Raw genomic sequence first — 15,951 nt, forward strand, 5'->3', positions numbered from 1 at the left:
ACTACCTTGGAACATGTGCTGAGAATCTCCTGTGTACTATGCATTGTGCTAGGCTGGGGATACAGAGATTGGAGAGAGGGGCAGGGATTAGGTCTTTCCCTCAAAGAACTCACAATCCGTTAGGGAAGATACAATGGTATACCAAGGTCAGAGTGGTGGGAGCTGCCTGCCCACCATTCAGGCCATAAAGAGGTGCGCTGTCTGTGAAGAATTCAAAAACAACAATATAGCCAACTACAAGTCAGTCTGCTTCTTACAATCACTGTGTGCCACCAATTGTAAACAATGTCAGTGATAAAATACTCTCCTCTAAAACTTTTAGTATTGGCTTAAGTTCTAAACACTGCACTTTGCTTAATATTATAGAGTTTGAAGTACGTATGTATGTATGTGCATTTGTAACCTATGCTTCAAATGAGCACATCCTAATTACTTATCCTTTGGTAAATTTTGTATTCTATATGAAAGTTAATTCTGGCTGGACGCGGTGGCTCACACCTGTAATCCCAGCACTTTGGGAGGCCAAGGCAGGTGGATCACGAGGTCAGGAGATTGAGACCATCCAGGCCAATAGAGTCAAACTAAAACACAAAAAATTAGCCTGGCGTGGTGGCATGCACCTGTAGTCCCAGCTACTCAGTAGGCTGAGGCGGAGGAATCACTTGAACACAAGAGGTGGAGGTTGCAGTGAGCCAAGATCGCACCACTGCACTCCAGCCCGGTGACAGGGCAAGACTCTGTAAAAAAAAAAAAAGAAAAGAAAAGAAAAAAGAAAAAAGAAAAAGAAAAGATAAGAAAGTTAATTCCAAGAATTTTTAATTATATAACTGGCCCTGACACTGTGGATGCAGTTCCAAGAGTTCTTTTTAAGTTCTTAAAGTTTCAGAATCATTTGAGCTTGCTATGGGCACACTTCATAGTACCCCCGTGGTACTATATATGCCTGTGTTACAACAGGAGATTTCAAATAAGCAATAATAACACATCAATTATAAAGAAGCAGCAGCAGAATTTGAAGTACTTTCATCCTGTCATACTGTGACAGTTTGATGTTTTTATTTGTGTTTAAAATATTTTAACCATAGAGACATCTGAAAGTTACCTAGACATCTGAAAGTTACTCAAAGAAACAAACGCATGGACAGTATTACAATTACTAAAATTTATTGAGAAACGGGATTTGTATGAATCTGACAAATTTATCTTTAAAACTTTTCTTAACTATTTGTATATATGTTGTTTAATGTAAAAGAAATTGTTGGCCGGGCACAGTAGCTCATGCCTGTAATCCCAGCACTTTGGGAGGCTGGGTTCAGGGAGAATCAGGTTCAAGTGATTCTCCAGCCTTGGCCACCCGAGTAGCTGGGATTACAGGCATGCACCATCACGCCCAGTTAATTTTTGTATTTTCAGTGGAGACAGGATTTCACTATGTTGGCCAGACTAGTCTCGAACTCCTGAGCTCAAGTGATCCACCCGCCTCCGCCTCCCAAAGTGCTGGGATTACAGGTGTGAGCCACCAAGCCTGGCCTAAATTCTCTCACCTCAGCCTCACCAGTAGCTGGGACTACAGGTACACACCACTATGCCCAGCAAATTAAAAAAAAAGTATTATTATTATTTTTTATTTTTCCTGAGACAGTCTCACTGCATCACCCAGGCTGGAGTGCAATGGCATGATCTCGGCTCACTGCAACCTCTGCCTCTCAGGTTCAAGTGATTCTCCAGCCTTGGCCACCTGAGTAGCTGGGATTACAGGCACCCACCATCACGCCCAGTTAATTTTTGTATTTTCAGTGGAGACGGGATTTCACTATGTTCGCCAGGCTAGTCTCAAACTCCTGACCTCAAGTGATCCACCCGCCTCCGCCTCCCAAAGTGCTGGGATTACAGGTGTGAGCCACCAAGCCTGGCCTAAAAAAAATTTTTTTTTAGAGATGGGGCCTCACTATGTCACTCAGACTGGTCCTGAGCTCCTGGGATCAAGTGATTCTCTTTCCTCAGTCTCCCAAAGTGCTGGGATTACTTCCATAAGCCACCACACCTAGCCCTGGCTAACTTTTATTTATTTTTCTTGTAGAGACAAGGTCTCACTATGTTGTAAAAATGTTTTAATGTAATTAACAATATTAACCCACTTTTTTTTTCCTTTTTTTTGCGCTATGGTATCTATTATTAATTTATCTATTTTAACTGGCAGGGCTTCATATGTGAAATTCAACAACAGAGAATTACCAGCGTATTTTTTTCATGATGTTTATTGTTATTTGTTTCATGTTATGATTATTACTAAAAATATTTTTATTTTATAGAGAAGGAGGATGATTTTAAAAAGCTGACCCACTCAGGTGTTGGGTGTGCTAGCTACCACTGGAATGATTGGCTCTGGAACAGGCTCTTTTAATGCAGTGTGGGGAATGAAATGATAGCAGTCTACATAGTGCGGACTCAGACAAGGATTCCCTAAGCAGGTGGGGCTTGAGTGGGGGATCAAGAAAGACTTTCTTGTAATTTTTATGTTGATATAATTTCTAAAGGTGCACAAAGGTCTCCCATACCTGTTTTCCACCTTCACCAACTTTTTACATTTTCATCCCTTTGCTCTTTCTTTCCTTTTCCTTTTTCTTTTCTTTTTTCTTTCCTTTCCTTTTCTTTTCTTTCCTTCCTTCCTTTCTTTCTTTCCCTTTCTTCCTCCCTCCCTTCCTTCCTTCCTTCCTCCCTCCCTCCCTCCCTCCCTCCCTCCCTCACTTCCTTCCTTCCTTCCTTCCTTTCTTTTTCTTTTTTTTTTTTTGACAGAGTTTTGCTCTTGTTGCCCAGACTGGAGTGCAATGGCGCAATCTCGGCTCACCGCAACCTCCGTCTCCCGGGTTCAAGAGATTCTCCTGCCTCAGCCTCCCGAGTAGCTGGGATTACAGGCATGCAGCACCACGCCCGGCTAATTTTTTGTATTTTTAGTAGAGACGGGGTTTCTCTATGTTGATCAGGCTGATCTTGAACTCTCAACCTCAGGTGACCCACCCGCCTCGGCCTCCCAAAGTGCTGGGATTACAGGCGTGAGCCACCGCGCCTGACCCCGTGTGCTTTTTAATTCTTTCTCTCTCGCTTTCTTTCTCCCTCTCCCTCTCCCACTCTGTCTTCCTTTCCTCCCCATCTTTCTCTGTGCACATAACACACACATGAACATTTTTTTTTCCTGAACCATTTGAAAGTAGATTAGAGATATGGCATCCCTTTATCCCTAAATACTTCAGTGGGTATATCCGAAGAACAAGAACATGGGCCGGGCGCGGTGGCTCACGCCTGTAATCCCAGCACTTTGGGAGGCCGAGGCAGGCGGATCACGAGGTCAGGAGATCGAGACCATCCTGGCTAACACAGTGAAACCCCGTCTTTACTAAAAATACAAAAAATTAGCCAGGCGAGGTGGCGGGCGCCTGTAGTCCCAGCTACTCTGGAGGCTGAGACAGGAAAATGGCGTGAACCCCGGGGGGCGGAGCCTGCAGTGAGCCGAGATCGCGCCACTGCACTCCAGCCTGGGCGACAGTGAGACTGTCCCAAAAAAAAAAAAAAAAAAAAGAACAAGAACATGTTCCCACCTAACCACAGTACAGATTATCACATTAAGGACATTTAACATTGTTATCATACTATTGTCTAATACAGAACACATTCAAATTTTGTCATTTTGCCCAATAATATCTTCCACAGTTTTTTCCAGCCCAGAATCCAATCCAGATTCACATATTTCATTTAGTTGTCATGTCTCTTTAGTCTTCTTTTATCTGGAAAAAAACAGCTCCTCAGCCTTGCTTTATTTTTCTGACTTTGATAGTTTTGAAGAGTACACGTCAGTTGTTCCATAGAATTCTCCTTGCTTTGGGTTGACTGATGTTTCTTCCTGATTAGATGTGGATTACACATTTTTAGTAGAAATATCACTGAAGCCTCGGTGTGGTGGCTCACGCCTGTAATCCCAGGACTTCGGGAGGCTAAGGTGGGTGGATCACTTGAGCTCAGGAGTTTGAGACCAGCCTGAGCAACATGGTGAAACCCTGTGTCTACTAGAAATACAAAACTTAGCCAGGTTTAGTGGTGCGTGCCTGTAGTTCCAGCTACCTGGGGAGCTGAGGTGGGAGGACCATTGAGCCCGGGAGTTTGAGGCTATGCTCCAGCCTGGGTGACAGAGTGAGACTCTGTCTTAGTAAGTAAATAAATAAACAAACAAACAAACATAAAATTACTAGTGAATTGAAGTTTTCCTTCATAAGACATCGTATCAGGAGTCATATGTTGCCGGTTTGTACCTATATTGGTGATGTTAACTTTGATTGCTTAGTTAAGTCAGATTAATTATAATATCGCCACCGTAAAGTTACTATTTTAACTTTGTAAATTAATAAATAATTTATGGGAAGCTACATTGAGACTAGTTTTACAGTCACTGATGACTTTTTCTGTATTTATTATTAGCACTCTACTATTAAAAAAACTATCTTAGGAAAGGTTTTCCTGTTTTTGTTAAACTTCATTGAGGTTAATTTACATACAATAAAATTTAACAATTGTAAGCTAAATTTTAATAAAATTTGGAAATATTTAGTAAGCAAACAATCCAGTGATTTTTAGTAATTTAATAAAATTGTGCAATCATTACCATAAACCAACTTTATGTTATTATTTTTATTTTTATTTTTATTTTTGAGACGGAGTCTCGCTCTGTCGCCCAGGCTGGAGTGCAGTGGCGCCATCTCGGCTCACTGCAAGCTCCGCCTCCTGGGTTCACGCCATTCTCCTGCCTCAGCTTCCTGAGTAGCTGGGACTACAGGCACCCGCCACCACACCCAGCTAATTTTTTTGTATTTTTAGTAGAGACGGGGTTTCACTGTGTTAGCCAGGATGGCCTTGATCTCCTGACCTCGTGATCCACTGGCCTCGGCCTCCCAAAGTGCTGGGATTACAGGCGTGAGCCACCGCACCCGGCCTATTTTTAATTTTTTTGAGACAGAGTCTCCCTCTGTCCTCCAGGCTGCAGGGCATGGCATGATCATAACTCACTGCAGCCTTGAGCCCCTGGGCTTAAGGGATCCTTCTGCCTCAGCCTCTTGAGCAGCTCGGACTACAGGAGTGTGCCACCACACATGGCTAATTTTTTATTTTTTGTAGAGATAGGGTCTCACTACATTACCCAGGCTGGTCTCAAATTCCTGGCCTCAAGTGATCCTCCTGCCTTGGCCTCTTAAAGTATTGGGCTTACAGGCTTGAGCCACCCCAGCTGGCCACAGTCCAGCTTTAGAACATTCTATCGGCTGTGTGCGGTGGCTCACAAGTGTAATCCCAGCACTTTGGGAGGCCGAGGCAGGTGGATCACCTGAGGTCAGGAGTTCAAGACCAGCTTGGCCAACACAGTGAAACCCTGTCTCTACTAAAAACACAAAAATTAGCCAGGTGTGGTGGTGGGCGCCTGTAATCCCAGCTACTCAGGAGGCTGAGGCAGGCGAATCGCTTGAACCTGGGAGGCGGAGGTTGCAGTGAGCCAAGATTGCCGCATTGCACTCCAGCCTGGGCAACAGAGCAAGAGTCCGTCTCAAAAAAAAACAAAACACATTTCTGTCATCCTAAAAAGCGCCCTCATGCCTGTTTACACTTCATCTCCATTCCCATCCAGCCCCAGGCAATTACTCACCTGTTTTCTACCTCTAGAAATATGCCTTTTCTGAACATTTCATATAAATAGCATTGTACAATATGTAGTTGTTTTGTATCTAACTTCTTTTACTTAGCATAAGATTCTTGAGCTATATCCATGTTGTAGCATATATCAATACTTCATTTTTATTGCTGAATAATTTTTTTTTTGAGACAGAGTCTTGCTGTGTTGCCTAGGCTGGAGTGCAGTGGCACCATCTCGGCTCAGTGTAGCCTCCGCCTCTTGGGTTCAAGCTTTTCTCATGCCTCAGTCTCCCTAGCAGCTGGGATTACAGGCGTGCACCACCACACCCAGCTAATTTTTGTATTTTTAGTAGAAATGGGTTTTCACGATGTTGGCCAGGCTGGTCTCGAACCCCTGACCTCAGGTGATCTGTGCGCCTTGGCCTCCCAAAGTGCTGGGATTACAGGCTTGAGCCACCGCGCCCAGCCTATTGCTGAATAATATTTTATTGTTTGGATATATCATATTTTGTTTATCCATTCACTAGTTGATAGACATTTGGGTTGTTGACGGTTTTTTTTTTTTTTTTGAGACGGAGTCTTGCTCTGTTGCCCAGGCTGGAGTGCAGTGGTGCGATCTCGGCTCACTGCAAGCTCTGTCTCCTGGGTTCATGCCATTCTCCTGCCTCAGCCTCCCGAGTAGCTGGGACTACAGGCACCTGCCACCGCGCCCAGCTAATTTGTTGTATTTTTAGTAGAGATGGGGTTTCACCTTGTTAGCCAGGATGGTCTTGATCTCCTGACCTTGTGATCCGCCCGCCTCGGCCTCCCAAAGTGCTGGGATTACAGGCATGAGCCACCGTGCCCGGCCGCTGATGGTTTTTTACTACACAAATAATCCTCCTGTGAACATTTATGTACAAGTTTTTGTATGGACATATGTTTTCATTTCTCTCGGGTAGATACTTAGAAGCAGAATTGCTGGGTTGTATGGGAAATTCATGTTACATTTTTAAAAAGAAACTACCAAAGTATTCTCCAAGAGGCTGTACCTTTTCATATTTCCCCAAGCAATAGACAATGGTTCCAGTTTCTTTACATCCTCACCAACACTTATTGTTGTCATCTGTCTTTTTAATTATAGCCATATTAGTAGTGGGCATGAAATTGTATCTCATTAATGTTTTCACTTGCATTTCCTCAATGGCTAATTATGTTGAGCATGTTTTCATGTGCTTATTAACTATTCATATATCTTTGGTGATATGTCTATTCGAGTCTTTTGCTGATTTTTAAACTGGTTGTTTACTTTCTTGTTTATATATTCTTTGCATGTGGATATCAATTAGCCCACTACCATTTATTAAAAAGACTATTCTTGGCTGGGCGTGGTGGCTCACACCTGTAATCCCAGCACTTTGGGAGGCCGAGGCGGGTGAATCACCTGAAGTCAGGAGTTCGAGATCAGCCTGGCCAACATGGTGAAACCCCATCTCTACTAAAAATACAAAAATTTAGCTGGGTGTGGTGGGGCATGCCTGTAATCCCAGCTGCTCTGGAGGCTGAGGCAGGAGAATCGCTTGAACCCAGGAGGTAGAGGTTGCAGTGAGCTGAGATTGCACCCCAGCCTGGGTGACAGAGTAAGACTCTGTTAAAAAAAAAAAAAAAAAGCAGGTCAGGATCTGGAATATGATGTTTGAGGCAATCCATAGTGAGCGATGCTGGGGAGGTTGGCAGGGACCAGATTATAGATAGTTTTGTAATCCGTATGTATTAAGCGGTATAGATTTTTTCCTGTACATGCCAGCAAGGTTGGGAAGAAAGGGCTTAAAGTAGAGAGAGATGGCATGGTTACATTTATGGTTTTCAAAGATCATACCTAGGTACCAGCCTGGAGGAAGAGAGTCCAATTAAAAGCAGTAGTGGCAGCTTAGGTTTGAGATGTAAAGGCTCAAATAAGAACAGAGGTGATAGAATTGGATGGAGGTAAGGAGATTGAATGAGGAATTATTTAAAAGATAAAATAGAATCTGATGATTTATCCAATGTGTGTATGTGTTTGGGTAGAAGTGAGATGTGGGGCTGGGGAATAAACAGGACGGACTCCTGGCTTTCTACAGTGCTAACTGGACAGATGGTGGTAGCATCAACTGACTCAAAGAATACAAAAGAATGAGCAGAATTAAGTTCAGCTGTACAACCTAATCTATAGTACTTGGAGAAGAAAGTCCATTTTCTCTCATCTAAAAGAAGTGCAGGCACGGTGGCTCACACCTGTAATTCCAGCATGTTGGGAGGCCGAAGCAGAGGATTGCTTGAGCCCAGGATTTCCAGACCAGCCTGGGCATAATAGTGAGAACCCCTCGCCAACACACACACACACACAATATCCCTACAAAAAATAAAAAATTAGCCAGGTGTGGTGGTAACATCTGTAGTTTCAGCTACTCAGGAGGTTGAGGTGGGTGGATTGCTTGAGTCAAGGAGATTGAGACTGCAGTGAGCCATGATCACGCCAGTACACTACAACCTGGGCAACAGAGTGAGACCCTATCTCAAAAAACAAAAAACAAAAACAAAAAAGTCCAAAGGACTTGGTCCACGGCACATGTAATGCTTCTGGGTTTCTAGGTCCTTCAGTCTTGTGGCTCTGCCATTCTCAGCGTGTTATTTTCTCCTCAAAGCCCAATATGGATGTTCCAGTCCTGGCTATCACATTTGAGTTCCAGGGATTAATAATGAAAAAGTAGTGAAGAATAGCATATGGTCTCATTTTAAGAATATTGTTCTACAGGCCCATCTCACATGGGCTCACCTTATTTCAAAGAAGGCTGGACAGGCTGGGTGTGGTAGCTCACACCTGCAATCCCAGCACATTGGGAGGCTGAGGAGGGTCGATGACTTGAGGTCAGGAGTTCAAGACCAGCCTGGCCAACATGGTGAAACCCCATCTATACAAAAAATACAAACATTAGCTGGGCATGGTGGCACGCACCTGTAATTCCAGCTACTCAGGAGGCTGAGGCAGGAGAATTGCTTGAACCTGGGAGGAGGAGGTTGCAGTGAGCCGAGATTGCACCCTTGCACTCCAGCCTGGGCGACAAGAGCAAAACTCTGTCTCAAAAAAAAGAAAGAAAAAAGAATGCTGGACAATGTAGTCTTTGTTATGGAAAGGTTTATGCCCAGGTAAAAATGGAAGGTTCCTTAATGTAGTAGAGAAATTTAGGGATAAATGGAATTTAGGGTACAATTAGTAGCCTCTGCAACAAGATATTTTAGAGGGAATTATGGGGACTTCCACTGGGACTTGTGCTTAAGCTGCTCATGGTGAATTGTCCATGTGCAAATGCCTTGCAGGTAGTTGGATATGTGACTCCTTTTCCTAAAGTGCAATTCTCATAAATTGACTTGTCTGCCCCAAACTTTCAATGACTTTTTACTCCTTACACTGGCATTGAGCACCAGGCTACACTTCCTTTCAAGGTACTAGCTGACAAAATCACCCCCTATTCTTTGAATGTGCCCCATACTTTTCTGTTTGCGTGCCTTTGCTCTTCTAGTACCTTCTGCCTGGAATGCCCTTTCGAGAACTCTTGTTCATACCTTATAAGTCTATCTCACTGGATCCTCAAAAACTGAATCAGTTGTTACCATCTTCTAAATTCCTCTAAAAATTTGCATACACTTCTGTGCTTATCATCTTCTGCTTTGTACCTAAAAAGCACTCAACAGGGCCTGGTGCAGTGGCTCACACCTGTAATCCTAGTGCTTTGGGAGGCTGAGGCAGGTGGATCACCTGAGGTCAGGAATTCAAGACCAGCCTGGCCAACATGGTGAAAAACCCTGTGTATCCTAAAAATACAAAAATTAACCGGGAGTGGTGGTGCATGTCTTGTAGTCCTAGTTACTCAGGAGGCTGAGGCAGAAGAATTGCTTGAACCCAGGAGGCAGAGGTTGCAGTGAGCCAAGATTGCACCACTATACCCAGTCTGGGTGATAGAGTGAGACTCTGTCTCAAAAAAAAAAAAAAAAAAAGCACTCAACAAACATTGGTGAACTGCATTGCCTTTGGCTTTGTTATTTGTCTTTCAAAGTAGATGAAAGATCTATACGAGATTTTCTATGTGAGGAAACAATGTGCTTTGGACAAGGGTGAAATACCGCCTTTCTAAATGTCTTCGATGTGTTTCCTTAAAGAGCTCCTCCCTGACCCTGTCCCTCCATGCCAGGCTACTTTCTCTTATACCCTGTACTTTCCTTTGTTAGCACTTACCACAACTACTCTTTTTTCTGAGACGGAGTCTCGCTCTGTTGCCCAGGCTGGAGTGCAGTGGCACCATCTTGGCTCACCGCAACCTCCGCCTCCTGGGTTCAAGCAATTCTCCTGCCCCAGCCTCCCAAATAGCTGGGATTGTAGATGCCTACCACCACGCCCAGCTAATGTTTGTATTTTTAGTAGAGATGGGGGTTTCACCATGTTGGTCAGGCTAGTCTTGAACTCTTGATCTCAGGTGATATTCCCACCTTGGCGTCCCAAAGTGCTGGGATTACAGGCATAAGCCACCATGCCTGGCCTGGGTTTCATGTTAACGGAAAGATTGGGACAGTAACTGGAGGGGGAAGTGGAGTCAAAAGGCTTTTTTTTTTTTTAGAAAGGATAAATAATAACATGTTGATATCTTGATGAGAAAGATGAAGTTGAGAGGTAAAAATGGATGCTGGCAGAGAGGGAAGGCTTTTTAGAGTCACATTCTTGACTAGGCAAGAGGGGAATGGAACCTAGAACTGAAGTGGGGGACAGTCTTTGCCAGGAGAATAGGCTGTTCACCCAGAGTAGCAGGAGAGATGGGGCACAGGTGGGTGGAGTCTGAAGGACTGGGAGCTTATGAAGTTCTCTTGTTATTGCCTCTATTTTCTCAGGAAATAAGAAGCAAAGTCATTTGCTGGGAGTGAGGATAGAGGAGTAGGTTTGAGTGATAGATGATATGAACTAGTGGAAATGAATGGACTAGAGTAACAGCTGTTTGATACCTTGGCAGCATTGACTTCCCATGTGAATTTCAAGTGGATAAGAGTCAGAATCCCAGCACTTTGGGAGGCTGAGATGGGAGCTCAGGAGCTTGAAACCAGCTCAGGCAACATGGCAAAACCCTGTCTCTAAAAAAAAAACAAAAACAAAAAATGTAGCCGGGTGTGGTGGTGTGTGCCTGTAGTCCCAGCTACTTGGGAGGCCAAGGCAGAAGAATAGCTTGAGCCTGGGAGGCAGAGGTTGCAGTGAGCCAAGGTCACACCATTTGCACTCCAGCATGGGTGACAGAGCGAGACCCTGTATCAAAACAGAAATAAGCCGGGTGAGGTGGCTCACGCCTGTAATCCCAGCACTGTGGGAGGCCAAGGTGGGCGCGGATCATCTGAGGTCAGGAGATCGAGACCACCCTGGCTAACACGGTGAAACCCCATCTCTACTAAAAATACAAAACAACAACAACAACAACAAAAAACTTAGCCAGGTGTGGTGGCACGCGCCTGTAGTCCCAGCTACTCAGGAGGCTGAGGCAGAATCGCTTGAACCTGGGAGGCGGAGGTCCAGTGAGCCGAGATTGTGCCCCACTGAACTCCAGCCTGGGTGACAGAGAGAGACTCTGTCTCAGAAAAAAAAAAAAAAAAAAAAAAAAGAAAGAAACAAAATAAAACAAAACAAGTCATTATAGAGTGGCTATGGCTTCTCTTCAGTGGCCTTCAGGTGTCTGCAGTTGGAGAGTTAGACTTTCCCAGGCTTGTGGTTTTACCAAGGCAGGAACATGGTATGAGAAAGAGGCAGGGGAATTGAGGGTTATAATTATATAGTTTAAGTTACATGGAGAGGGAAGTGCAGCCATGAGAGAGAAGAAATGAAAGATGGTGAAAAGAATGTGGACTCAATGGTAGAAAGATGGGCTGGAGACTGAGAACTAGAGGGAGCAAGCTGGAAAGATAGGAGTTGGTGGTAAGAGAGAGGGTGTGGAAATTGAGATTATGGAGTTGGTGCCATTATTATAATGACAAGGTACAGGACATGACCGTGGGAGGGAGTGGCTGATGTAGGATAGAGGCCAAGATTATTGAAGAGGAGAAAGTCAAGGAATTTATATGCTTGGGTATGGGAGGGTCATATATGTGAACCCTACATGTACTCACTGGGTAAGGTTGTCAGAACCCAAAGATAATTTGGGTTAGAAATCTAGCTCCTCTTCTACTTCCTAGCTCTATACCTTAGTTTTCTTATGTGAAAAATGAAGATATTAATAGTTTCTACATTGCAGGGCTATTGTGAGGACTAAATGAATTAATACACATAAAACACTTAGAATAGAGAGTGACATATAGTAAGTGCACAATAAGCTTTTATTTTTATTTGCATATTTATGCCTTAACAAATCTGATAATTTTAGCTCAGAACTTTCTTCATGCAAACTCATATCTGCTCTTTTATAACAAAAATCCTTGAAATAGTTGTCTATACTTGTCTTCACTTTTTCACCTCCCTTTTTCTCCTCTACCCTTCACAATAAAAATTTCCCCCTACATCTCTACTAAGAATGTTTTGTTGCTGTTGTTGTTTTGAGACAAGACCTTGCTTGGTTGCTCAGGCTGGAGTGGAGTAGCAAGATCACTGCTCACTGTAGCCGTTACCTCTCTGGCTCAGGCGATCCTCCCACCTCAGCCTCCCAAGTCGCTGGGACCACAGGCACACTCCATCACACCTGGCTAATTTTTAATTTTTCTGTAGAGATGGGGTTTCTCCATGTTGCTTGGGCTGGTCTCGAACTCCTGGACTTAAGTGATCCTCTTGCCTTGGCCTCCCAGAGTTCTAGGATTACAGGAGTGAGCTGCTGTGCCTGGCCTAAAAACGCTTTTGAAGGCACCAATGACCCTGATCTTCCCAGTCTACTAGTTAATTCTTAGTTTTCATCTTTGCTGCATTTGACGTGGCTTTATCATGTCTTGCTTCTGAAATTATAAAAATTTGGTTTCTGGGTCACCTCCTTCTCCTGGGTTTTCATTGTGCCTTGCTGTTATCTCTTCTCAATCTCTTCTGCAAAATCCTCTTCCTCTCCCTGACTTCTAAAGATTGGCACAGCTTGGGACTAAATTCTTTTCTACCTATACTAACACGCAACATGATCTTTCCAGTCCCGTGGTTTCATATAGCAGCTGTATGCTAATGCATCCCAAATTCATATCTCTAACTGTGATGTTTTCTCCAAATCCCAACTCATATATCTAACTGCTTATTGAACAACCCTACTTGAATGTATAGTAGGTATCTCAAACTTAACTGTCCAAAACTGATTACATTCTAGTCAGGGAAGTAGATAATAAACACATTTAAAAATGAATCTCTAGGCTGGGTGCAGTGGCTCACGCCTGTAATCCTAGCACTTTGGGAGGCTGAGGCAGGCGGATCACCGGAGGTCAGGAGTTCAAGACCAGCCTGGCCAACACGGTGAAACCCCGTCTCTACTAAAATGCAAAAATTAGCTGGGCATGATGGCGGGTGCCTGTAATCCCAGCTACTCGGGAGAGTGAGACGGTAGAATCACTTGAACCCAGGAGACGGCGGTTGCAGTGAGCAGAGATCGTGCCACTGCACTCCAGCCTGGGTTGCTGAGTGAGACTCCATCTAAGAAAAAGAAAAAAAAAAATCTTTATTTCAGCTAGTGCAAACTGCTACAAGGAGAAACAAAGCCAGAGAAGGGAAATGAGAGCTTAAGTATTCGAAGGAATTAGGCAAAGCCTCACTCTGGCTCTGCAAGGTCAGAAGGAAGGGCAGTCAGTGTGCAGAGAACAGCAAGTGCAAAGATTGATCTCCATTCCACCCAAAACTCTTTCCCCAATTTAGCTAATGGTATCACTATTCACTTATTTGCCCAGGCATCAGAGTCACTCTTCATTCATCTGTTTTCCTCACCCTTCACAGTCAATTCATTTAGCAATTCCTGTTGGCTCTAACTTCAGATTATATCTGGAATCTGATCATTTTTCGCTACCTTCATTGCTTTCATCAGAGTCCTACCAATCATTGTCCTTGTCCCGACTACTACTCCACAGCCTTCTACCTTGTCTTTCTGCTTTTATTCTTGCCTACAGACTTCATCTAGCAGCCAGGATGTCTTTCAATAATATAAATCAGATCATGTTATTTCATTGCTCAAAACTGCAGGGGGCCGGATGTGGTGGCTCACACCTGTAATCCCAGCACTTTGGGAGGCCAAGGCAGGAGGATTCCTTGAGTGCAGGAGTTCAAGATCAGCCTGGGCAACACAGAAAGACCCCACCTCTTAAAAAAAAACATTAAAATTCTCCAGTGGCTTATTTCTATCATACTTATAATAAAATCCAAATACTTCACTCTGATTTACAAGGTACTAAATAGTCTGGCTCCCTCTGAACTCAGCTGCTACCTTTGATTTTTCTAGTTGTCACTATCTACCCTAAGTTTCTCCAAAGCTTTTTCTTTCCACTAGTCAAGGTCTTTGTTGCCTCAGTCTTTGCACTTGCTATTCTCCCCAGGTTGACTGCTCTTCCTTCTGATATTGCATGGTCTGAGTGAGGCTGTCCCTAATTCCTTTCAATACTTAAACTCTTTTCCCTCCTCCGGCTTTATTTCTCTTTATAGCAGCTTGCACTAGCTGAAATAGAGTTTTCTTTGTTTGTTTATTATGTGCTTCCCTGATTAGAATGTCAGCTTCATGAAAGCAGGAATCTTGTCTCTCATGATCACTGGTAGATTCCTGGTACCCTAAAACAGTGCCTGGCACATAGCAGGCATTCAGTTTGTTTGAGTAACTGAATGAATCCAAGTGCCAAATTAGATGTCTCAAATTTAGCATTCCCAGACTAAAGACACTATCATCTTCTTGCACAAAAATCTTCCAGGATTCACTATCCTAAGTGAATTGGGTCACCAACCAGTCTCTCCCTGTAAAAGCTCAATGAGTAATCCTTGGCCGTTTCTCTATCTCTCCCTTGGCCACTTGAAATCCGGCTCATTGTACATAATAAACACTCTTGAAACTTCCTTGCATCGCTATTTCTCCAAGCCACTCACCATCATCTCCACCTGGGGTTTCGAGCCTCCAACCTAGCTTCCTTCTAATACATTCATTACACTGTCTCCATGTAATCTTTCTAAAATGCAAATATTGGTCAGGCACAGTGGTTCACGCCTATAATCCCAGAACTTTGGGAAGCTGAGGCGGGCAGATTACTTAAGGTCAGGAGTTCCAGACAAGCCTGGCCAACATGGTGAAACCCCATCTCTAATAAAAATACAAAAACTAGCCAGGCGTGGTGGCACACGCCTGTAATCCCAGCTACTTGGGAGGCTGAGGCAGGAGAATCACTTGAACCGGAAGGTGGAGGTTGCAGTGAGCTGAGATTGTGCCACTGCACTCCAGTCTGGGCAGAGTGAGACTCTGTCTCAAAACACAAAAACAAACAAGAAAACAATAAAATGCAAATCTTACCATGCTGCTCCGTAGCTGTAAAAGCTTGAGCCTTCCCATGGCCATGAGAGTGGTTTTTATCTTTCCTGGCAGGCAATAGGCTCTGTGTGGGCTGAACAGTACCTAGCATTCCTTGAATTAGAATGCATTGATTTGGTGAATATTTAGGAGAAATATAAAAATCTACCCTTTATTTTTTGGATACAGGATCTCACTATGTCACCCAGGGTAGAGTGCAGTGGAGCAGTCATAGCTCACTGTAGCCTCGACCTCGTGGGCTCAAGCCATCCTCCTCCCTCAGCCTCCAGACTATGGGCGTGTGCCTAAAAATGTCTATTTGATGTAGCAACATGAGATAAATCTGGAGAAACAGGAGGGAATAGTTGTTCCGATCATTACTTTTACATTATTATAACTGAATACATTGTTATTTTGTAAATGATTACAGCCTGGAATTGAATAGGGGGAAACGGAAGCAGTTGTTACAATCATTATCAATTTGAAAGTGAAGACTTCTTTTCTCTCTCTTTTTTTTTGAGACAGTCTCGCTCTGTCACCTAGACTGGAGTGCAGTGGCGTGGCGATTTCGGCTCACTGCAACCTCCACCTCCCGGGTTCAAGGAGTCTCCTGCCTCAGTCTCCCGAGTAGCTGGGACTACAGGCACACACCACCACACCCGGCTAATTTTAGTATTTTTAGTAGAGACAAGGTTTCGCCATTTTGCCTAGCTTGGTCTCGAACTCTGACCTCGGGCGATCTGCCCGCCTCGGCCTCCCAAAGTGGGATTATAGGTGTAAGCCACCGCGCTCGGCT

The 15,951-nt window shown here is 43.9% G+C and overlaps 1 annotated feature.

The window, feature by feature from the left end:
* Positions 4,612 to 4,775: a silencer, noted in NCBI's record as "fragment chr2:29105260-29105423 (GRCh37/hg19 assembly coordinates)". NCBI's record gives its function as "represses an EF-1alpha promoter that drives an FKBP-Casp9 reporter gene in an ReSE screen in K562 erythroleukemia cells {active_cell/tissue: K562}" and the evidence as "EXISTENCE:reporter gene assay evidence [ECO:0000049][PMID:32094911]".

The sequence above is a fragment of the Homo sapiens genome, chromosome 2 (assembly GCF_000001405.40).
Source record: "Homo sapiens chromosome 2, GRCh38.p14 Primary Assembly".
Taxonomy (NCBI): domain Eukaryota; kingdom Metazoa; phylum Chordata; class Mammalia; order Primates; family Hominidae; genus Homo; species Homo sapiens.